Here is a 24,721-nt window from a genome sequence, read left to right as displayed (position 1 = left end):
TCCTGGAAAAGAAAGGAGAGAATAAACTAAAATCATATTCTTTTGCTTGGTAGTTTCATTCTCCCCTCCCAATGATCACAGCAATTTCTGAATGCAATACAATGCATGAAAGACTGAATGGGCTTCAGTTTACTCACCAGTAAAAATGAAGGCATTTGGCTAAATAATCTCACAGGCTCACAAAATTTAAAAGCTAAGAGACTTTAGGATTACCTGGCCCAGAAGTTTTCAACCCAATCAAATAAAACACACTTTTTATAACAAACATTTTATAGTACTCTACTAATCTGGTATAAAATCCATAGATCATATAACCTGCCCATGTTTTTAAATTAATATAACATGAAAACTGTAATACAAAGGAGAAATGAAAAGAAAATAGCTTACAGAAAATGTTGTGTATTTCAGTATGTGGATACTCTGCTTGATTGCACTAAAGGACAAGGGAGGCTCAGATTCTTGTACCTGTAGAATAACCACGAATGTGATATCACAATGCAGACAGATATAGGTGTGTTGCTTAGTGACTCAAACATCATTAGTGTTTGCTATAATTTGATTTTTTGGAGATTATTAATAACTCTTGGTAAAGTTCTGAGCAAAATAAAGTACAATCTTACCTCTATTTATACACAGTCCTGGAAAATTCAGTGTATATTTTCAGATGTGAAAAATACTATATGTTTATATAGAAAACATAGTCGGATTCCTTGAATGTCCGGCGGGACATGAAAGTCATGCCAGATATGGGCCAGGTGGTCGCTTTGTGGGATTGCCCAGAGCATTGTTTAGCAGTTCTGCACCTGCCCATCCAATGTCACCAGCACCCCACCCCCAATCATTGTGACATCTAAAAAGCTACCTTCACAGATTGCTACCAGCACCCAAGGGGGTGATTCCAACCTCTGCAGAGAATCTCTTTCAAACACTGCATAATTTGAGCAAAATGTGGGGCAAAATCATACAAAAAATTGATATTAGATCTAGGAATGGTAATTTTTTTTAAGAAAACATTGTACATATACATGATCACATAGGTTTCACAATTTATGTGGCTGGTTTCACGCATCCTTGTTGGCTCTGTCTCATTTCCAGTTATGAAAATGACTTGTCTTCTGAGATGCTTTGCTTGTGTCCTTACTTGACAAAGGAGGCCTGGAGGCTCAGAGAGTTGGTGGCAGGCGAAGCTGGAGAATGCAGGCCTCGTGACTGCCAGTTCTGTGCTCTCAGGCTAGCTTCCTCTGGCACTCTCCAAAGTTTGTAGGACGTCACAGCAGCAGTTGTGCTAGTTGCAACACTTCTGATTCTAACTGCAGTGTTTACTTTCAGACCCTCGGCCTTTGCTGCTTACATAGGATTCTAGGATTCGTGATGAAGGCAGATTAAATATTTAGATCCCTCGAACAAGTTAAATTACAATCGGGCTGGATTCCCACTGGGTAATCCCACTTGAACCTTGTGTACTCTGGGGGGAACATGAACTTTACTCATTTCATTCAAAACTCGCATGAACAGAGAGTGAAGCTGGCTCCTCTCCACCTCCCCCGCCCCCACAAAAAAACTGCTTATCTCAGAATGAAAAATCCATCCAGTTCCTTGGAGGATTCGCTTTGCCTTGCCCCATAGCGGACATAGTGTGTGTATTCAGCGGGAACAATTTGCTCATGCCAAGAAACTAGATCCTGTTTGAATGACAGTAGTTATGGGAAAACAATATGTCTACAGCCCACACCAAAGCATGGCTTGTACTTTATGGCTGGCATTGTCCCAGAAGAGAATTGGCAGGCAGCTGAGAAACCTCTCATGGCCACTGGACTCGGACAACCATCTCTACTGCCCTCACTTGCCCTTAACTGCCTATACCCCTTAATTTGGACTTTTGGTCTAGGAGCAATATCTTCCAAGTCAATTTCTGCTCTGTGGCACTCTCGGTAGCTGGGGGAAAGGGTGATTCTGGCTGGCCCTGGACTCTTAACTATTCTCAGAGTCTCCAGAAACATCTTTTATTCTTCTTTCTTTCTCTCCTCTTTTTTAAAGCCTATAGACTCTTTCCGTTTCCTCGGCAGCTCTAAGCTCATCCTGCTCCCTCCCCTAGCTTAGCTCCATACCCCCCTCTCAGGACAGTGGTTCCTTAATGTCCACAGAACCCAGGTCAAGCCCATGTCATGACAGCAGGTGTCCCTTGTTGCTGGGACTTGGACCACCGAGGCCCTCTGGGCTTTGAGATAATTTGTCATACACACTCTGATACATGAGCCGGAGAACTCAACCTAAATTAGTTACAGGTGGGACAGAAGAAACAAATGAAACTGGGCATCAAGATTTCTCCAACTGACACATATAATGTGAATGTGAGAGAAAGCATAGGATCACAGATCCGTAAAGGAAAAAGAAAAGGCCATGGAAAGACAGAGGAAGTTTCTGTCCCAACTTTCCCTGATTACTTGAAATTCTGTGTGTCTGAAGTGAGCCAAGAAAAGCTGCCAAGAAAGAAGTTGTGGAAGATAAGGGCACAAATGCAACATTTAGTTTTCAGTGCTTTGTAAAAGCCCAAAGACTATTGCGTGTTCTTGACAACTGCATTACCACGTTAGATTCCAGTTTTTTTGAATTTGGATGTTTTGGGAGTTTTTACATGGCTAGATTCTTAGCATCTAGTGATAAAAGGAAAGGGACTCTGACAATGCAATTTCCAGTTACAAAATAGGTGTTAGTTCTTATTTAATTATACAATCCCTTCTGCTCTATCAGCTATTGGCAAAGTTTTCTGTGCATTGTCTTAATGCTTTGTGATACAATTCTTTTATGATATAACACATATCCCTTAAATTTGTATTTCCTGCCTTTTCTTCCCGCACTAATTTGAACCATACAAAAAATTGATACAAAAGAGGAGAAACTTCATGCAGGACAAATAAGGATATTCTACTGGGGCAATTCTCAATTAAAGTTAGCATTTTACATAACAATACAGGATATGGCAAAATCAACTCAAGATGCGGTATATTGCGATAGCATTATAACTAACCAAGTCCAGACCTGAATTTTACACCAGTTGTAAATCATGGTGAGAAAAATAAATCTCATGCCTGAGCCAGAGTTTGCTTTCCTTGGATTTGGCAACAAACTATTACTAACTTTGCACAAGATAGGCCACAGGGGAGAAAATAACTACATTTCTTTGAAACAATCCCTGGTTATAAAGGGTAGCTAATTCTCATTTAGCAACCAGCTGGATTTTTAAATAATAATATCACCTTTAATGAAAATTGATACATCTAGCCCCAAAAGAAACTATGTCTAAATGACATTCCTGGAACTTAGAATACAATTTTTTTTTTTTTTTGTATTTTTTTAGTAGAGATGGGGTTTTGCCAAGTTGGCCAGGCTGGTCTTGAACTTCTGACCTCAGTTGATCCACCCACCTCGGCCTCCCAAAGTGCTAGGATTATGAATTTTTTTTGAAGTCCACTATTTATTTATGCCAGTTAGTCAGTTAGTTTATACACATTGCCTTGTTTAAGCTTTTTAGAAGACTTACTAACTAAAGTCCATAGCTGACATTAGGGTTCCTTCTTCGTGTACAACACAAAGAAGGGTTTGTCAAATACACAACGACATGTGTCCATCACTACAGTATGTTCTCTAGTATCATTCTATGATTGATAGAGTAATATAGTATTCTAGATACTATAGAAGAGTTTCACTGCCCTAAAAGTCCCCTATGCTTCATCAACTCATCCCTTACTCCCTTCCCCGAAGGCCTGGCAATCACTGATCTTTTTTACTTTCTCTATAGTTTTGCCTTTTCCAGATGTCATACAGTATACCGCCTTTTGGACTGGCTTCTTTCACTTATCAACGTGTATTTAATGTTCCTCCATGTCTTTTCATGGCTTGACAGCTCATTTCTTTTATCACTGAATAAAAGATACAGATGGACATACCACAGTTTATCCACTCAGTTACTGAAGGGCATCTTGGTTGCTTCCCAGTCTTGGCAATTATGAATAAAGCTGCTACAAACATTTGTGTGCGCAGGTTTTTGTGTGGACATAAGTTTTCAATTCCTTTGGGTAAAAACCAAGGAGATGGATTGCTGGATCATATGGTAAGAGTATGTTTAGTTGTATAAGAAACTGCCAAACTGTCTCCCAAAGTTGCTGTACCATTTTGCCTTCTCATTGCTTAATCTTTTAGCAGCGTTTCAATGTATGTATTTTACCACCTGTTACTCAGATGAACAAACTGAGATTTCAAGAGATTAAATCACTTGCCCGACGTCTCAAAGCAGAGTGAGGACTAATGCTGAGATTCAAATTTGGGTTGATCTGGCTTTAAAGCTGGTGATCATCCTGCTACACTACACTGCATCACCAAGCAAAACCAGCACTGAGCCAGGGCAGAGTCCTTCAATGGTGCCAGTATAGGTAGCCAGCCTCTGCTGAATGTATTAACGTCCCCATCCTGAGCCTAAAGCCAAGCATCAGGGAAATGTCCTATCACACAGCCTGGAAACTTTACTCCTTCCCCTGAACCACAGAGTCACTTTTTTCTTCCTCCTCTGCCCCAGTTCTGGGGAGGGGCTGTAAGGCACTGTGAATCTGGCACAGAGCAGGCACTAGAAGTAGTCATGCCTCAATGCAACTCTAGCTGTAGGCAAAGACAGCCTGCTCTTATTAAACTTTGCATTATCATGCCATGAAACCACAGTCAGTAATGCAAACACTAACCCAAAACCCCAGCATGAGGTTTCAGAATTCAGGGCTTCTTTCAAAAAACTAGACCACCAGCAGCCGGCTGTTCCAGGAGGGGGGGCTAAGGGAAAAGTCACTGACATCCCCTTAAGCCAGAAACAACTAAAGATAACTTATCACAGGCTCATACCTATAAACTAAGGGACTTAGTCACTTGCAAATGCTTCTAGATTTTTAGCTCAAGACAAGGGAGTTTTGCATTGCATTTTCCAGGTGTGATCTGAATATTTCTCATTCTCAGTCTGGCATAAATCCAAATACACTTGTACCTCAGTTAACTGATTGTCACAATGTATAGCATAGGTTGAAAGACAGGCAGTGATAGTGCTGGGAGGGAAGGCCAGGTTGAACCTACTGTTGGGGCTGGGCTTGAGGCTCAGCCCTAGCAATGACTTAGTAGGGCCTTGAGGCATGACATGGAGCCCGTTTCACAAGGAGGCTAGGAGTAATATTTACCATGTCATAATACACACATCAGCCATACTGCATTCTGCAAAGGGCCTAGTGAAATTCCCTATTCTTTTTTTTTTTTTTTTTTTTTTTTTTTTTTTTTTTTTTTTGAGACTGATTTGCGCTCTTGTTGCCCAGGCTGGAGTGCAATGGTACAATCTTGGCTCACCGGAACCTCTGCCTCCAGGGTTCAAGCGATTCTCCTGCCTCAGCCTCCCAAGTAGCTGAGATTACAGGCATGCGCCACCATGCCCAGCTAATTTTTTTATATTTTTAGTAGAGATGGGGCTTCTCCATGTTGGTCAGGCTGGTCTCGAACTCCCGACCTCAGGTGATCCGCCCGCCTCGGTCTCCCAAAGTGCTGGGATTACAGGCGTGAGCCACCGTGCCCAGCCGAAATTCCCTATTCTTAAGGCACATCGGTTCTTTCTCTTCCTGTCTTCTCTCATCAGCAATTCCAGCTACATTAGTCACGCCAGCTTTCAAACAGGGCACAGAATGTCCTACTTCAAGAGAAAGTACAATTTGGTACAGTCTGGAGACATAGCTTAAGAAGAGTGAGTCTTGTTTTCAGAGTTAATATGGTCTGGTTAATTTAGAGAGTGTACTTTACACGCAATTTGGACAAGCCTAGAAGCACAGCCCTTGCTGATGGTAAATTCTTTAAAAGGTTTGTACAACTTTTCAGTTGTTGAGCGAGAAGGTTATATAAGACTAATGCTTTAGCTGCCACTTGTAGAAGTGGTTAGATTTCTATCAAGGAGAACACAAGTTGAGGGGAAGGGATGAGACTGTTGAATACAAAAAGAGGCTAAATTCATGGAACTATTATGCCCATGTCTTTATCCACCAAGGGAGGGCTATGGATTTAGTTCACATTTTCATATATGTAGAAAAGGGAAACAAGAATAATGTGTAAACCAGCTATGCCAAGATGCCCATTCATTCCGTGTTCATTCAATTATAAAGAAAAGTCCTTACTGTGACTCTGAGGCAGTAAAGAGGGTAAGGCCATACTGGCACACACTGGACCTTGGGGTCTAGGAAGCACAACCACTCAGGCACTGGGGAGGCATGGTCCTGGCATTCAAGACTCTATGTCATTATAGCATGACAGAAGGAAGGGATTTTGTGATCTAATCTGATCAGTCACTGCCACCCAATTCACATCAAAGAAAATGGAGACCAATGGGTTTAAATGATCTGCCCAAGGTCACACAGCTAATTTATGGCAAAGATGGGGCCAGAACCCCATATCTTTACCCCCAATCCAGGATTTCTTCCAGAACACCGATGTTCCTCAAACTGAGGCAGAACTACTCTCTGAGCACAATTATATGCACAGCAAAAGAATAAACCTGGTGTATTTTCCTGGAGAATCCATTTAAATGATAAACATTTTATATTAAAACACATATGAATATATTATGAATAGAAGTCAAAATTCAGGCTGGGCACAGTGGCTCACACCTGTAATCCCAGCACTTTGGGAGAGCAAGGCAGGTGGATCACCTGAGGTCAGGAGTTTGAGACCAGCCTGGTCAACAAGGTGAAACTCTGTTTCCATTAAAAATACAAAATTATCTGGGTGTGGTGGTGTGTGCCTGTAATCCCAGCTACTCAGAAGGCTGAGGCAGGAGAATCGCTTGAACCTGGGAGAAGGAGGCTGAAGTGAGCCAAGAAGGCGCCATTGCACTCCAGCCTGAGCAACAAGAGTGAAACTCAATCTCAAAAAAAAGAAAAAAAGAAGTCAAATTTCACAAAAATGTTTATAATAAAAAGAAGCCTTCACAAAGATTCTATGCTTGAGATGAGCCACTGTGGTCTACTTTCCCCGACCTCCTAGGAACATGGTCAGTCTGAGGAAGGCAGGGGATCTTCAGAGGTGACCTGGGCAAGCAATGCAGTACTCAGTGCATGCAGCTACTCAACGGCATTGGCTCACTCAGAGGTGATTGGGGACTGAAATGTATCAACTGAAGCCACAAAGAGCTGGACTGATAAGAGGCAATGCAGAGCACTCCAAAATACTGTGACCTGACAATGTCTGCTAGTCTCATTGGCTTCCTTGAGAAACTGGGTGGGCACAGTGCTGCAATAAAGGGGAGCTGGATGTTCTCATGGGATAATAAAATGAGAACTGATGTGGTGTTGCTGTGTCCCTACCCAAATCTCACCTTGAATTGTAATAATCCCCACGGTGGAGATCACTGAATCATGGGGGCGGTTTCCCCCATACTGTTCTCATGGTAGTGAATAAGTCTCGAGAGATCTAATGGTTTTATAAATGGGAGTTCCCCTGCACAGGCTCTCCTTGCCTGCCAGCAATTAAAACATGACTTTGTTCCTCATTCGCCTTCTGCCATGATTGTGAGGCCTCCCCAGCCATGTGGAACTGTGAAGTCAATTAAACCTCTCCTTTATAAATTAGCCAGTCTCAGGTATGTCTTTATTAGCAGCATGAGAACAGGCTGTGTGAGGGAGAGCTAGAGCGAAAGCCTGAGCTCTCCCTTCACACAGCTCCTTCTACACAGCTCACTCCTCCACCTCATTCAAGTCTTCACTCCCAGGACACCCACTGAATGGGGGCCTCCCCACCCACCCTAATTAAAATCACACACTACCCCCATGCTACCTCTGTTCCTTAGCCTGCTCTATACTTTTTTTTTTTTTTTTTTTTGCATAACACTTACCATCTTCTAACATACCAGGTAATTTACTTATTTATAATGCTTATTGCCTGTCAGACCCCTTCTCACCCAGTTAGAATGTAAGATCCCCAGGCCTGTTTTCCAATGTAAACCAAGTACCTAAACAGTGCCTAGCACATAGCAGGCACCCGATAAATACTTGCTGACTGATGGATGTACTCATTGGTTTTTATTTGGATGGCTTTAGGTCTCAGCTTAGCTGCTACTTCCTTTGAGAAGCCACTTCTGACCAGCCAAGCTGGAGGTGCCATTCCAGTCATATCACTCAGGTGATCTGCATCATAGCATTTATCTCTACCTCTCATAGATTCTCATAGATTTGTTTATTTTCTCTGTCTCTCCACCTCCCTGATCCCCAACTTCACAAACGTGGAACTTTGTCTTGATTACCAGGATGTCTCTGGTACCTAGGACAGTGCCTAGCACATGGTAGATAATAAATGTCTCTGGTCATCAGCTGGAGGGCTGGCTGCCTCGTTCTTGATCCAGCAGCTTGAAAGAATTAAGGGGACTGAGACCATGAGTGATCTGAGTTTGCTACTTTGGGAGAAGCTCCTCTACCTCTACCAGAATGAGCCTTGGTGCACCCTCCACACACCTGACATGGGGAGCATTCCTATTCTCTCCTTCAGTCTGCCTTGTTCATCCCTCTGTGCTCCTATGAAAAGGTATTTATTGAGTCCATGATCTATTCCAGCAGTCTTCAAATGGACTTCCCAAAGGTACTAGAGCAGGGACAGTTTCACAAAAATGAGTTTCTACATCCTCAATTTCCATATGTACTAATTCTGAAACTGCCTGAGAGCCTTTGGGCATCAACAATATTCTTTCACCCACTCTACAAAAGAAAGTCACACCACTCATATCTCAAATCTTAATATGGTGTGCTACACTAAATGATTCCAAATACTGGTTGGGGGAAGCCTTAGCACTTTCTGTCTCTCCCTGTCCTGCAAGCAAGTCTGTAAGAGTAGGGTTGGCCAGTCCTGGGTAGTTCTGAGTTCAGGACAAAGTAGTACATATAAGTGATGTGGATTATCTTTAAATAACCACAGTGTTTTCTGAAGTCATCAGATCTTTCAAGATGTGCTGGATAAAGTCTACATATAAGCTTTTTACTGATTTCCTTCCAATTTAACATGTTATTCAATAAGGTCATTAAAACCTAGTTCATCAAATCATGTCACAAAATATTTATTCCACACACCATCAATCTTTACCTTATGAAACATGTAATGTCTTCTACTCCTTATTTTTAAAATGATGGAAATATTTAGATGTCAGATTTAAACAGTGAGATGGTACACAGTTTTTAAAACATTCTTTCAATGGCATATAACAAAAAAAGTTTGAAGACCACTGATGTGCAGATGCAGATGAGAAGCTTAAGTGGGTAGGGAACACTTTGTTAATGTCCAAGCCACCAGAAGAACAAAGACTGACCACGTGTCAGTCCATCCTTTTTTTTCTTTTTTTTGTTTTTTTTTTTTTTTTTTTTTGAGATGGAGTCTCGCTCTGTCGCCTAGGCCAGAGTACAGTGGCACAGTCTCAGCTCACTGCAACCTCTGCCTCCCGGGTTCAAGTGATTCTCCTGCCTCAGCCTCCTGAGTAGCTGGGACTACAGGCATGCGCCACCAAGCCCAGCTAATTTTTTGTATTTTTAGTACAGACAGGTTTCACCATATTGGCCAGGCTGGTCTCGAACTCCTGATCTTTTGATCCGCCCACCTCGGCCTCCCAAAGTGCTGGGATTACAGGCATGAGCCACTGCGCCCGGCCACCTCTCTTGTTTTTTCAAAAAGGCCAACTACACCAGGCTCATGGTAACTGACATTTTCAGCCACTGAAAGAAAACAGGTGTACCTGTTAAATTTCCCGAGGCAAAGAAACATATTGAAATACCTAATCTGCTCATTACCAGCCTGCTGCCACTGCCAACGTCTAAAGACTTAGCAACTCACACACATATTGTTCTTCTTTCCTTCAACAGGCCTGAGAAATTACAGCCCCCTTCAGGGACTTGCTGTACTTTGCCCAGCCAAGCATCTCTGGGTAATTTCAGAAGGAAATGAGCTCTATGCCGCATTATGATAATCAATGCCCTCCTTCTTTCCCTCTGACAGATATGTCATCACCAAGGCATTTGCTACACATTGTTCCATGGCCGACAAGCAGGCTGCTGCATGGGGTACAAGGTCTGGGCACTAAGCAGCAGGATACAGTTTTAATGTCCTAATTTCATGTAACAAATGTGGATTTCCAGCAGTCTTGCTAATACATATTTCTTCAGGCAACTTGTTGGGGAAGGAGAAGGAGGGTTTCCTACGTTAGTTAGCTGTTTATTTTTATTTTTATTTATTTATTTATTTATTTATACACACAAAACACTGTTCTTTTTCACTGAACAGCTCGATGTACTGGGTAGGAGAAAAGGGCAGTTGAGGAAACAGGCTCGGAGGACTGGCTCAAAAAAATAAAGAAAAAGAAAAACTGAGTATAACGTAATGTAAAATCTTTTATATACATTTATTGAAATAATTCATTCAAATTTCTAAAATAAAAATAAATGAATTAGACTGTATATACCCTTTCAAAGTAATTTCTATACTTCTTCTAATGATTTTCCATTTATTCTTACTTTAGAGTTTTCTCACATATATATTAAGAAAAAAAGACTCAGAAATATATATTTTCTCGGTGTAAGGCTGAAATCTGTATTACAGGATTTCCATGTAGAGTAAGAGAGAGAAACCTCAATGGATATGTACAAAGGCAACATGATTTGGTCTTCAGAATTGCTTTATAACCCCAGCAAGGAAGTAACTGTGGCTTTAAGAATATTCAGTACACAAAGATAAGTGGTGCCTAACTCAGAAATGACTTACTGAACTCATCACAGTCATTAAAACAATAGAAACTCTAATGGATTCTGAGAAATCTTGAAAGCAGTAGCTATTATACTCGGCTTACTCATCATCCTTAACTACCATTTATTAGTTCTCACCCCCTTTGTATAGCAGGTATTATTAATCATCTGTCAGAGTTCTGGGAAGTTAAGATCAGGGAGGGTAATGCAAGGTCAGACACTGAGTCCATGGGCAAAGTGAGATGGGGTCTGAATCGAGGAGTCCTTCATTCAATGTTTGATTCTGAATTATGTGTCTACATCCTTTCCTCCTCCCTCTCACTCCTACCCACTGCCTGGCCATGAAGTTTTATTTTCCAACTGTTTTGCTTGGTGTAAATTGGAAGGACTCTAATGGAGAGATGAAACAGCCACATTTCAACAGTAGAGGAGGGGTGGTGATTTAGAAGGAAACAAAATCTTAATGGTGTCACTAGCCAAGGGCCTGACCACAGTGTTCAGCAGCTCATTCTGATGAGTACACCATGACTCCGGCAGACACCCCGCACTACATTTCATTGTTCTCCTGAGACTTGGGGACTTCTTTAGTTTGATCCAAATCTCTCATAGTCTGGGTATGTCAGCACTTACCAGAGCATCTGGATGAAAACGGAAAATTTCCCCTCAGATGTAGCTGGTATATACCTGGTTATACAATTCCAAAATCCAGATATTTGAAATCATACATGTGACTGACTAAATGTGTGCATTTTCCCTTCAATGTCAGGCATCATTGCAATAGCCTGGATATATTTAAGCTACCAAGGAACATCCTCACTGGCATCACTCTTGCCAAAATGCATTAAACACCCAAGTTTCCAGATAAGGATGACAGGCATTAAGAACCTACAGATGTGCCTACTCTACAGATGTATGTATTTTTTTTTTCATTTAAGTGTTTTGTATGGGATGGTGTATTAGTTTTCTACTACTGCCATGACAAATGGCCACAAATGTTAATGACTTCAAACAGTACAAATTTATTATCTTAACAGTTCTGAGACCTGTGCTCCCTTTTGGAGGCTCTAAGGGGATTGCATTGCCTTGTTTATTCCAGCTTCTAGAGACTGTATTCCTTAGCTCCAAGGCCTTGCCACCATCTTCAAAGACAGCAACAGTGGGTCAAATCATCACATCGCATCGGTCTGATCCACTCTTTTCCTCCCTTTTCCAATGTTTTCTTGTGATTAGGTTGGGCCCATCTAGATAATCCAGAATAATCTCCCAATCTCAAGATCAGTACCCTTAATCACACCTGCAAAGTCCCCTTTGCCATGGAGGTAACATATTTGCAGGTTCTAAGGACTCAGGCATGAACATCTCGGTGGGAGGGACATTAGTCTGCCTACCACAGATGAGTTTCTGTTTTGTTTTGTTTCTTTTCCATTTCAGCTGGAAGTAATTTGAGACTTCTGCTTCTCAGAATGCCAGGAGAGACAGATCTCCCGAGTTAAGACTTGCTAACAGCTTACTGGCAAGGCAGGGCACTCACAGTTTTTTTTAAAGACGCTTAATGCCAAATGGTGGACGTGGAATGGCTTTAAAAGAGAAACTGTATTTAAGATGGCCTCAACTACAGTAGATATTTTTTTTCTTGCTCACAAACAATACTTGGCAGGTGAATACGATAGAGGAGTGGGCCTCTTTCTTGCCATCATTCAGGAACCCAGCTTAATAGCAGCTCTGCCAACTTCCAAATCTCTCCCAGGAGCTGCCTCCCCTCCAGCCAGCCTGAAGGGAAAAGGAAGATGAAAGAGAGAGAGCATATGGGAGGTTTTCATGGGCCAGGCCTGGAAGTGGTACACATTTCTCTATTCATATTCCATTGACGAGACCTCAGTTTCCCTTAACTGCAAGGCAGACTGGGAAATGTATTTTGGCTGTATATCAGAAAGAAGAGGAAACACATGGTGGGAAACAGCTGAGAGTATACCAAGAAATCATCCTGATCTACTCTAGTCTTCTCCCAGAAGTTAGTATTCTGTCAGCTTCCAAAGGTCATCAATCTCAAACAATTATCATTGATGGCTCTGAAGCATGGCATTTTATCTCTGAAATAAAACTGGCATTGGGGGCAAAATGGTATTGTTTCAGAGGCATAGCTCTCCTCTCCCTTCCTTGCTCTCAAGCTGACACTAAGGGGAGCTCCTGCCTACTTGCACACATGCTATCTCCATTACTCCAGAGAAACCTTTTACACAGAGGAAAGGCTGGCTATTGGAAGACATCCTGAAGCATTCAGAGCTCACACTGAGAAGCTCCCCCAGTAACTGAGATGCTGCACCCACAAAAGTACCTTGGTTTCTTCTACAGATTACAGGAAAACAAATGGCCTCCCAGAGAAAAGGTCTGGATAGTGTTTTCCCCCCTTGTCAGGAGACTAGCAGACCGAAGAGGACATTCAGAGGCCCCACAAAGATACATTTACCTGCAGAACAGTGGAATATTGTCCCATCCCACACCTCTTGAGCTTGCACTAGATGAGAAAAAGGAAGTAGCCATGACCAGTTGGCCATTGGGATATGCAGCTTGTGGCCTGGCCCCTGGCCCAGAAATTCTCCTGGCTGCTGCATCACTGATACCTGGTTCTAGTCTGTTTTCACACTGATATGATGATGGCTGACATGAGATCAAGCTCAGAGAGCCCTGATTTAAAATACAGCCTAAGACATAATTATAACGTCAAAAAACAATAGATGTGGGCATGGATGTGGTTAAAAGGAAACACTTTTACCCTGCTGGTGGGAATGTAAATTAGTAAAACCACTATGGAAAACGTATAGAGATTCCTTAAAGAACTAAAAGTAGAAGTACCATTCAATCCAGCAATCCCACTACTGGGTTCCTACCCAGAGGAAAAGAAGTCATATGAAAAAGACACATGCACATGCATGTTTACAGCAGCACAATTCACAAGTGCAAAGATAGGGAACCAGCCTAAGTGGCCATCAACCAACGAATGGATAAAGAAAACACGGTGTATATATGCCATGGAATACCACTCAGCCATAAAAAGGAATGAAATAATGTCTTTTGTGGCAACTTGGATGGAGCTGGAGGCCATTATTCTAAGTGAAGTAACTCAAGAATGGAAAACAAATATTGTATGTTCTCACTTATAAGTGGGAGCTAAGCTATGAGGATTCAGAAGAATGATGTAATGGACTTTGGGGACTTGTTGTGGCCGGATGGGAGGGGGTGAGGTATAAAAGACAACATACTGGATACAGTGTACCCTGCTCAAGTGACGGGTGCACTAAAATCTCAGAAATCACCACTAAAGAACTTATCCATGTAACCAAAAACCACCTGTACCCCCAAAACTATTTAAATAAACATTTTTTAAAGGCCAGGCACTGTGGCTCATGCCTGGAATCCCAGCACTTTGGGAGGCTGAGGCAGGCGGATCACCTGAGGTCAGGAGTTCAAGACCAGCCTGGCCAACATAGTGAAACTCCATTTCTACTAAAAATACAAAAATTAGCCAGGCATAGTGGCGGGTGCTTGTAATCCCAGCTACTCAGGAGGCTGACGCTGGAGAATCACTTGAACCCAGGAGGTGGAGGTTGCAGTGAGCTGAGATCATACCACTGCACTCCAGCCTGGGCAACACAGTGAGACTGCGTCTCAAAAAAATAGATAAAAATAAAATAAAATAGGGCCTAAGAACTACATCTAAGGCCAATCAAATAGTTAAGGAGGGAAAGTTCTTCAGAGATCAATACCAGCTAATAAATGCAGAAGAATGTAGGAATTAGGAAACTACCATTTTGCTTCCACCTCATGAAGTACTGGAATTTGGCAGTTATCAATAAACATTAAACCATTGTGAAAGGTTGATAAGGAACTTTATAATGGAAAGATCAAGGTGAAAATGTCAAAACCTCCAATCAATCTATGATCATTACACATGGGACTGACAGGCTTTATGTACCTCCTGATGTGGTATGGTTGAAAGTCTACAGCACCACCAATAAAAGATATTCTTGCCTGAAATATTTAACCTGAATCTAATCAAGCCTCTAGATTCAACGACTAGCTTACAGGAAATATAGCAAACAGAAAAGTGTATTAACTACCACCACAATGATAAAATCACCCTAATCCAGAATAAATGATTCAGCCACTTTAATAGTGTATGTGATGGTTAATTTTGTGTGTCAACTTGACTGGGCTTAAGGGGTGCCCAGATAGCTGGCGAAACATTATTTTCGGATGTGTCTGTAAGGGTATTTTCATAAGAGAGTAGCATTTGAATCAACAGATTGAGTAAAGATCACCCTCACTGTATTAGTCCATTCTCACACAGCTATAAAGATACTACCTGAGACTGGGTAAGTTATGAAGAAAAGAGGTTTAATTGACTCACAGTATGCATGTCAGGAAACTTACAATCATGGCAGAAGGCAAAGGGGAAGCAAGGGGCAGATCTTCCATAGTGGCCAGAGAGAGAGAGAGAGAGAGCAGGAGTAAGTGCCATACTTTTAAACCATCAGATCTTGTGAGAACTCACTCATTATCACAAGAACAACATGGGGGAACCGTCCCCATGATCCAGTCATCTCCCACCAGGTCCCTCCCTAACACATGGGGATTACAATTCGAGATGAGATTTGGATGGAGACACAGAATCAAACCATATCACTTGCCAATGTAGGTGGGTACCATCCAGTCTGTAGAGGGCCCAAATAGAACAAAAAAGCAAGGAAGGGTGAATTTTCTCTCTTCTTGAGCTGGAACATCCATCCTCTCCTGCATTTGGGCAACAGCACTCTTCTTGGACATTCCAACACTGACTGGGACGTATACTATATCCACCCTATACACCCCCAGTCCCTACCCCGACACACACACATACTGAATTACACCACCAGCTTTCCTGATTCTGCATCTTGTACACAACTTCTCAGCCTCGAAAATTATGTGAGCCAATACCTACAATAAATTTCATATCTATATTTATCTACCTATCTGTTACTCTCTCTGTGTCAATCTATCTATTAATATCATATCATCTATCTACTATCAAGTCTGTTCCTCTGGAGAACCCTAATACAGTGTATCCCAAATGTTAAGTTAATGAAAAAGTAAGTCATCATGGTACACTTACCACATTTTCTGCTAATGAATTTTAAGCTGGCATATTCAGAGATGAGATCCATGCACTATATCTGCTTACAAAGTAAATAACACGGCTACTTTGATATAGGTTGTTTTGATGAAAATAATTGTATAGCTGCAATTACTACTCTATCAGTCTTATTTCTGTCTATACCCCTACAGCAATGAGACTCTGATTTGCCCTGTTCTGATTTACAGCTTTAAACTATCTGGGTATTTTTTCAGCAATTCAGAATAAAACAGTCATTATTTCATATCTTTATTTTGTTCTCATGATCTCAAGTCAAAGATTCAGTTTGTTAAACAACTTAGGGTGGTAAAGATGTATTCTATAAAATGTCTTTCAATGGAACATTTCCACTGCAAAAGAAAACGGCAGACTGATCATGCTTACAGTTACATGCTATGATCTTTTTATTGAAGGTTGTAATCTGATAGTGGGTCATGACTACCTGGGAATAGAAGAGAGGTGACAAGAGGGTACTCCCTATGCAGAAAGGGTGAGCAATACTTTAGGAAACTCCTGGTGCATTTCTATTTACATGTGTGTGTGTGCTGGGTTACAATATAAAATGCATTTCAAATTGTCTGAATGTGGCCACTGTAGGTGACTGAGATTTGCATGCATCACAGTCACAAACATAACCTCAGAAAGTAAAATCAAGAGGCAGGACTCCATTGGAAGATGATCCAGAATAAGGTTACATTCGTTGTTTTAGTTAATCATTTACATAAAAATACCTAGTTCTCATAGAATTTTTGGATTCCTTGGGGCCTTAAATCCCAATTTGAGAAAGAATAACACAGTTCAAGTCCCTTATATTAATATAAGGAAACCAAAGTTACCCTGGTAGAAATGCATGTCCTTTCTCCCCTCCCCCTCTTCCCTCCCTTCTTCTCCTCCCTTCCCCCACTCCTAATTATGTTCCTGGGAGTCCCTCCCTCTTCCACACAGGTGTAAGAGAGCCCAGGGCTCCTAAAGCAGTAAGAGAGCCAGGCTACAGGGCGTGGACTGGCATGGGAGGGCTGGTTGTTGGCATGGCTGGGTATCCCTGGGCCTCAGAGAGAAACTCATCAGCACTTCTTGGCCTGCTTTCCTCGGACTCACCTGTGCTCACTATCAGAGTGCTAAGTAGAGGCACATCTGGAGGGGAAGTTCTTGCCAAAGGAGCCAGCCATGTGGTTTGGTTTGGCTCTTTAGTAACAGTACAGTAATAGTAACAGCTGTGGCTTGGCAGTTCCAGGTGTTCAGGAGCTGAGGTCTCTCAGTCTCTTCCAACCTTGGAAAGGAAGAATAATGGTCAAGAGCCCAGTCTCTGGAGCCTATTTGAGTTCAGATCTAACTGCCACCTACTAGCTGTGACTTTGAGTAAGTCACTTGACCTCTCTGTTTCTGAGAGGTCATGATTAAAATGGAGAGGAGGGAGGAGCTGATAATTGCTATCTCATAGGGTTGTTATAAGGACTGAGTGAAGTGTAACATATGTAAAATTCTTACAAGAGTGACTGACAAAGGTGCAATTATGACTCAATCAGTCTTATTTCTGTCTATAACCCTTCACCTTACCCTTCATTCCAGAAAAAAACACAAAAACCGAGAAATACTTCTGCTTCTACTATATCTAGGGCAGTGTCCCCAAGAACATTCATCCAGCAAATATTTGTGGGGATTCACAAAATACAGACAAAACACAGTTTCCTGCCTTCAAGAAAGGTATCATTTCCTGGGAAAAAAGAAAAAGTCATCCCACGAATTATAAATCATGTTCCAAGGGTTAAAACAGAGAAAACTACAGGATCAAGGAGGAGCAGCGGGATTTTGCCAGAAGGAGTCTCAGGTGAAGCTGAAGGAGGAAAATGAAGCTTCAACTGAGGCTTAAATGATGTGGAAAGAGATTGTTTCCAATCTTGAGCAAAATCTTATTGGTTCTCTTAATAAATCACCCAAAGCCTGAGTGACACAACTAAAATGGAAAAACAGAAACAGTTGATTCAATAGGGTGCTGGGACTGCAGGCTCGATCCTGGAAGCCCCCTAAAGGCAGGAACTGCCTCTTATTGCCCTTTCTACGCCATACTTGCCTGCCAGACACTGAAGGCACATTTGGCTGAATGTGTCCTTTTGTCTTTATTTTTAATATTGCTATTGATATATAATTATGCATTGTTATAATGTTCTTTGTGCAATAAAAAAATTGTAATAGAATTAAAGACATATAAACATACCAAGCACACATAAAATACAGTACCAGCAGTTGAGTTACCTATTGCGGTGGTTTTAAAATTCTTTTGGCAAAGTTATACCAGGTACCACCAAGATGTGGCCCAGACATTATGTGGGATTCTTATTGCCCTTCAAGATGTAGGAAAAAATTGGCTCAAACTGCCACCAACTCTATAGCTTCTGGAAACCCAAAACCCGTCTTAACATTTTGGTGAGGGATGATGTTCTCAGGGCCTCCTTCATTCCTGGGCTCCCTTTCCCATGACTGTTGTCTCTACACTACCTGCACTGACTGTGATGTGAATGAACGCATCTCCAAGTTCACCCCCTGAAATCCACTCCACACTACATGCTGTACTTCACAGAAAAGTCTGGAGACCATGAGGAACAGGTGCATCAAGACCCTCCCCACAATTTTATGCCATTTAGTTGATGCCTGCCATTCTTCCACCCTCCCCTCTCTTTCTTTCTCTCATGTGTTCCCCTCACTCTCAAAGCAACCAGTAAATGCTTGCCCTTGGCTTACACAAAGCAGCTCTCCCAATACCCAGGCCTTTGGGGTTTCCTTTTCTTCCGCAAGCACTCATCAAAGTGTTTTCCCCCAAGATTATTTTCTTCATAAAGCAAATTCTGATGCCAGATGTTCTAATGATAGCATTTCCATTTTCCCCACCTCCGAATATTTGTAAGGAAGAGGAGGGGTTGGTCCCAGTGGAGGAAGCAGCTGCACCAAACAGATGCAACAGTGGCCAGTGAAAGCAGCAGAGGTGGTACCAGGATGTGCCACGTGATATCCAGCCTAAGATGCACGTGAGCACGTGAGACACTGACAAGGGCAGAAGAGAGGTTTGCAAAGGGTTAGAGCTCTAATAGATAGCACAGGGTCATCAGAACCAGCAAAATTGAAATGATTAATGTCAAAGAGACTCATTAACCATGGGGTCTTAGAAAATAGGGGTTTCAGGTAAAAACTCATAAGAAAAATTATAATCTTGACAAGGAAAAGTCTAGCCCCATAGAAATGTTTTCATTGATCTAAAAGTAAATACTTAATACTAATAAAGAATATGTATTATCCAGATGGCTTTTTTTTTTTTTTTTGACACCGTTTTGCTCGTCACCCTGCTGGAGTACAGTGGCGTGATCTCGGCTCACTGCACCCTCTGCCTCCTGGGTTCAAGTGATTCTCCTGCCTCAGCCTCTCAAGTAGCTGGGATTACAAGTGCCCACCACCATGCCCTGCCAATTTTTGTATTTTTAGTAGAGATAGGGTTTCACCATGTTGCCCAGGCTGGTCTTGAATTCCTGACCTCAAGTGATCCACCTGCCTTGGCCTCCCAAATTGCTGGGTTTACAGGTGTGAGCCATCGTGCCCAGCCCAGATGACTTTTATATGGTAGTTCATAAAGAATGATCCTGACAAAAGAACAGATTTGTATTTATACCATGCAAAGGAATGTTAATTACAAAACTGTTGGCTATGGCAGAAAAAATTTCCCAATGGCTTAGCTTTATATAAAGTGTTCCCTTAAGATATATTACCTGAAGAAAAAGCTCAAAAGTCCTTGAAAAAAAAACCAAACTTATCCTCCCAGCTACTTGATAAAATAGACATAGATAGCTATTATTACATGCATTAGATAAGTAGATAATATTTAGCAGTTCCAACTTATCCCCAGTCTAGAAGATTCTTGAAGTACTTATCTACTCTAGGATGTGACAAAAGATTTCACCTTGGTTAGGAATTTCCTTATGCCCTCCTCTGAGAAGATTAGAAATTGTTCAAATCCCTGGGACATCCCTAGTGTGTCTCAGTCCAAGAGCCAAATTAATATCCTTGCCCTTGTTCTAGCTATTTTACAAGAGGCTGCTCAATTGTCACATGAAATTAGGATTTGGGTATAGCTTTTCGTTATATAAATAAGCTTGAGAAAGGGCCTTCCTAGCAGCTAATCTGACTAAACTAGAAATATATGGGTTGTTTTCCACAGGAAAAGAAAAATAGATGGGAAAGGGAAAGAAAGGAGCAATTTGACAACTAAAAATAGTTGGGAAAAGATAAGAAGAAACAAGTGAGTCTTAGAGCAAAGGAGTGAATGGAGCCAACAGATCTCTGTTGCTCTTTGCTCAGATGGGGTAGGCCTTGGCTCTGCCAATGAGTGGTGTAAAGTCCAAATACTGTAAGGGAAGAGGACGTGCGAGCAGCCATGAAATATTCCTTTCTGAGAAACTAGGAAACTGGACAAGACCCCTCCGGATGGTGCCCAGGATAGAATGTGACTTGAAAATGACAAAGAGCCCAAAGTGCAGTACTTCTTTAACCTATTTAAGAATGTTGAACAAGTCTTTACACAGTTTGCAAGCACACAGTCCAGATGAGCAGGAACTTAGGGATGGGGAAGAAGCGTGGGATAAAACTGCACAGATTCGCCTTTGGGGAAAAGTTCCTTGATCCTAAATCACAAACAAAGTAATTCATTTGTTTATTCATGCAATAAACATTAACCTTCTATATGTTCCAGACATTGTTCTAGGTGCCAGGGATACAGCACTGAACAAGACAAACAAGGTAGCTGCTCTTCTGGACTTTATAGGTAGGGGCAAAAAAATAATACATAAACACAAATGCTTTACATAAATTAAAATAAAATGGGCTATGAGATAGAGTGTGGCCTGGGGTTATATGAATACTTTACATAGGGTGGTCAGGTCAAACCTCTCTAGGGAGGTGACTTAAGACGAAACCTAGGTAGTAAGAGGAAGCCAGCCTTATGGTGATCTGTATAGCAGGGAGAGAGAAGAGAACTGCAAAGGCTTTGAGGTAAGACTCCCACTTGGTATATTTGAAGAACAGAAAAGGGATCTGTGTGACAGCAGTAGTGAGTCCTGGCAGGGTGGGGCAGACATAGGCAGCAGGTACATCACAAAGGAGTTCGGCTTTCCTTCTAAGTGCTATGGGATGCCAATGGGTGAGTTTAAGTGGGGGAGTGGCACTTCAGTTTAAAGAGACCACTCTGGCTGGTCTCTCCATGGACTGCCAGGGGCAAACACAGAGGCAGAGATGGATTAGGAGGTGATATGGAAGTCCAGTGAGAGATGTCAGAGGTTCGGACTGGGATGGTAGCAGGAGAGGAGAGGAAAGTAGATGAATTCAGGTAAATTTGGAGATATGACAATAGGTCATAGTGATAGGCTGGATGTGGGATATGAGGGAAAAAGAGCAATCAAGGGTGATGCCTAAGGTTCGGGGCTCTAGCAGCCAGATATATAACAGTGTTATTTACTGAGATGGGGGTACCAAGAGGTGAGGAAGAAAGGAAGAAAGTAAGGCTGGGATTAAGAGTTATGATTTGGATACATTAAATTTGAGATGCCTCTCAGATTCAAGTCTGGAAGTCAGGGCTACAGATGTTAAGTTAGCAACCAGAAGGTATTTAAAGCAATGGGACCCAATGAGATTACTCAGAAAGAGTACAGAGAAACCCAAGGATGAAGCATTGGAGGCTTTCCAACAGCTAGAGGTCAGCTGTTGGAAACCAGCAAGATGCAGAAGAAATGAGAACATGTGGGTGCACATGAGCCAATAAAAGAAAATGCTCCAAGAAACAAAAAGTGACCTATTGCATCAAATGCTGCTGAAAGTCAAGTAACATAAGAGAGAATTAACCACCCCATATGGCAAGATGGTGATTGGTGGGGACCCTTAAAAAGGTAATTTCAGTTGGCTGGTGGGGAGGACAGCCAAGTGAATGGGTTGCTTAAATAATGGAGGATGAGGATGTACAAATGAGATATACAGAGAGTTCCTTTTAGAAGCTCTGCTGTGAACAAGAGCAGAGAAATGAAGTAGGTAGGATAGTAGTCAAGGAAGGTTTTTGTTGTTGCTGTTAACTTTTTATTTTCAAAGATATAGAAAAGTAGAGAAAACAGTATCATGAAGCCCCATGTCACTTGCTTTGACAATTATCTGCCCCTCATCCCACTTCTTCCACCTATTCCCCAACTCATTCCCAACTCTTTACCCACAGGATTATTTTGAAGCAAATCCCAGACATCATTGTAAGGAACAATTGTTTTTAAGTGAGAAGTACTATTTGTTATGAAAAAAGGAAAACAGAAAACCCTGTTATACAGTGCTCTCACTGAGAAAATTCCAGCTCCATCACTTTAGCAGACTGTCTTTAATAAAATGTATGAACTGTATTCTTCCTTTAAAGCAGGATTCTCAAACTATCGCCCACAGCCCACTGAATGGACCACGAGGGGTTTCCACCTGAACAGCAAACCAATCCAGCAAAGCACAGGTCCTTCCATTTTTATAAAGGATAGAGGAAGTCCAAGTTCACCTTTTGTTTTCTAGCTTTATATTTGTGCATAATATAGCTTAAGTAATATAGCTTATTAAGTAAGTTATTTAGGATTACTAAAAGTAGTACATTTCTAGAGTTTCTAGATAAGAAGTCTGATTGCCACACAATGCCTGGCACTGATGTGGAACGCATATGCTGATGGTTGCAATTTCTGTAAACTGGGGGAAGGATGCATAATCCCCCGTGCACGTCTTGAGTTGCTTATGGTTTGCAATTCTATTTTTGTTTTTTCACTATAAATTATTAAGCTTCATTAGCAATTTATGGTGGGTTATCTGGCTAAACTCTGAGTATATAATGATACATATGTGACTATTAAGAAATTTGCAACTTGTTCAATCTTCAGTTATCTGTGATCCTAGATACAAAGATTTGAGACAGAAAAAAATTAAATCCAGAAAATTCTATATATTGTTAACATTTTCTGTGGATTCAGGGGAAACTTTAATTTTATGGAAAACCTCAATCCAGTTAAGACAGTATAGCAGTTAAGAGCCTAAATGGGATCTAGAGAGTGCAGGTTCAAATCAAGGCTTTGCTACTTAGTAGCTACATGACCTTGGGAGGTTATCTAACTTTTCTGTCTCTCAGTTTCCTCGTCTGTAATTGGGGATTATAATAGCATCTACTTCATATATTTAAATGAGTGTCCATAACTGAAACAGTACCTGGCATATATTAACTTCTATATTTTTCCATAGAAAATATTACTGCTATATCCACTACAACAATTCCTACAACTATTACAGTTTATGACACCAGGGTTCTGAGAGAGGACAACCTGAAAATCATGAATATGACTGAAATCTTCCTAAGTGGTAGATCTAAATACCATAAATGGTGGCTAGCTTTATAGGAAAACCCATTTAACCCGTAATATAACCAAACTATTCACTAAGAGCACTAGCTTGAATTTTGGATCTTGGAACTATTTGGTGCAGAAAGCAGCAAGATAGGTATCCTTCTCTGAATACAGGCCAGCCATAGAAAATGTTCTATAATAGATGAAAGAGGGTCTCCAGCATCTTCTTTCCTCCTTTCTGTAAGCCTCTTCTACCTTCTAACTCCTTGCTTTCTAAGCCCCAGGTATCTGATAACTTGATTTTGTCCTGAGTCCTCCCCTGTAATACTTAGCAGGCCAGTTCTCCCCTAAGACATTCTATTTTTCAAAAATGAGTTATTCTCTAGGATGTTCCACTTCCAGCTATTGTGAAGAGAAAAATGCTTTTATAAAATGTATGGTTACTTATATATGGCTAATAACATCTTAAGATTCTCAGAAGTATTCCTATTCTTAAAGTTCTTATCAGAATCTCTAGTTATTGGAAATTAAGGCAGATCAACAAAAAGTTAAGTGAAAAAATTCAACCAGTCTGGGCCACCATACAGCCTTGTCTGGAAGCCAGCCTGGAGACTAAAAAAAAAAAAAAAAAAAATCCATTAGGACTATTTGCATGTTTTCTTCCCTCTATTTTGAAACAATATAGTATTTATGTTATATTATTATTTCTTACTGATAAATAATAATTGTATCTATTTAGGGGATAAAATGTGGTATTTTTATATGCTTATACCTATGCTTATACCTATGGTTAGTTAGCTAGCTAACTCAACTAACTAACATATCCATCACCTCGTGTACTTATATTTTTGTGGTGTGAACATTTGGATTTACTCAGCAATTTTGAAGTAAACATTATTATTAACTACTACAGTTGCCATGCTGTACAATAGATCTCAAAACTTATTTCTCCTCTCTGAGATTTTGTACATTTGACTAACTTCACCTCCACCTGCCCTCCACCCCAACCCCCAGCCCTGGTAACCACCATTCTACTCTCTGTTTCTATGAGTTTAACTCTTTTAGATTCCACGTGCAAGTGAAATCACACAGTATTTGTCCTTCTGTTATTGGCTTATTTAACTTAACGTAACATCTGCCAGGTTTGCCCATGTTGTCTCAAATGACAGGGTTTCCTTCCTTTTTTTCAAGGCTGAATAGTATTCCATTGTGTGTATATGCACCACATTTTCTTTATCCCTTCATCCATTAATGGACACTTGGGTTGATTCTCTATCTTGGCTATTATGAATGATGCTGCAATGAACATGGCAGTGCAGCTATCTCTTCGATATACCAATTTCAATTTCTTTGGATATATACTCAGTAGTGAGATTGCTTGA

General features: G+C 41.2%; 1 protein-coding gene across 6 annotated transcripts in view; it reads right to left on the bottom strand.

Annotated features, from left to right (window-relative positions):
* CRADD (CARD and death domain containing adaptor protein) overlaps positions 1 to 24,721 on the bottom strand; it is a 217,466-nt gene that overhangs the window by 78,972 nt on the left and 113,773 nt on the right. Inside the window, exon 3 of one of the 6 annotated variants that reach the window (XM_047429804.1) lies at positions 17,058 to 17,224. The exons of the other annotated variants lie outside the window; for them this stretch is intronic. Coding sequence (XP_047285760.1) covers positions 17,193 to 17,224 — 32 coding nt within the window. The 3' untranslated portion in view covers positions 17,058 to 17,192. Of the gene's footprint in view, positions 1 to 17,057; positions 17,225 to 24,721 lie in introns of those variants that run through there. 6 annotated transcript variants of the gene reach the window in all.

This window comes from Homo sapiens, chromosome 12, assembly GCF_000001405.40.
Source record: "Homo sapiens chromosome 12, GRCh38.p14 Primary Assembly".
NCBI classification, from domain to species: Eukaryota; Metazoa; Chordata; class Mammalia; order Primates; family Hominidae; genus Homo; species Homo sapiens.
The sequence above is the reverse complement of the archived record's forward strand: the minus strand, read 5'-3'. Positions and strand labels throughout refer to the sequence as shown.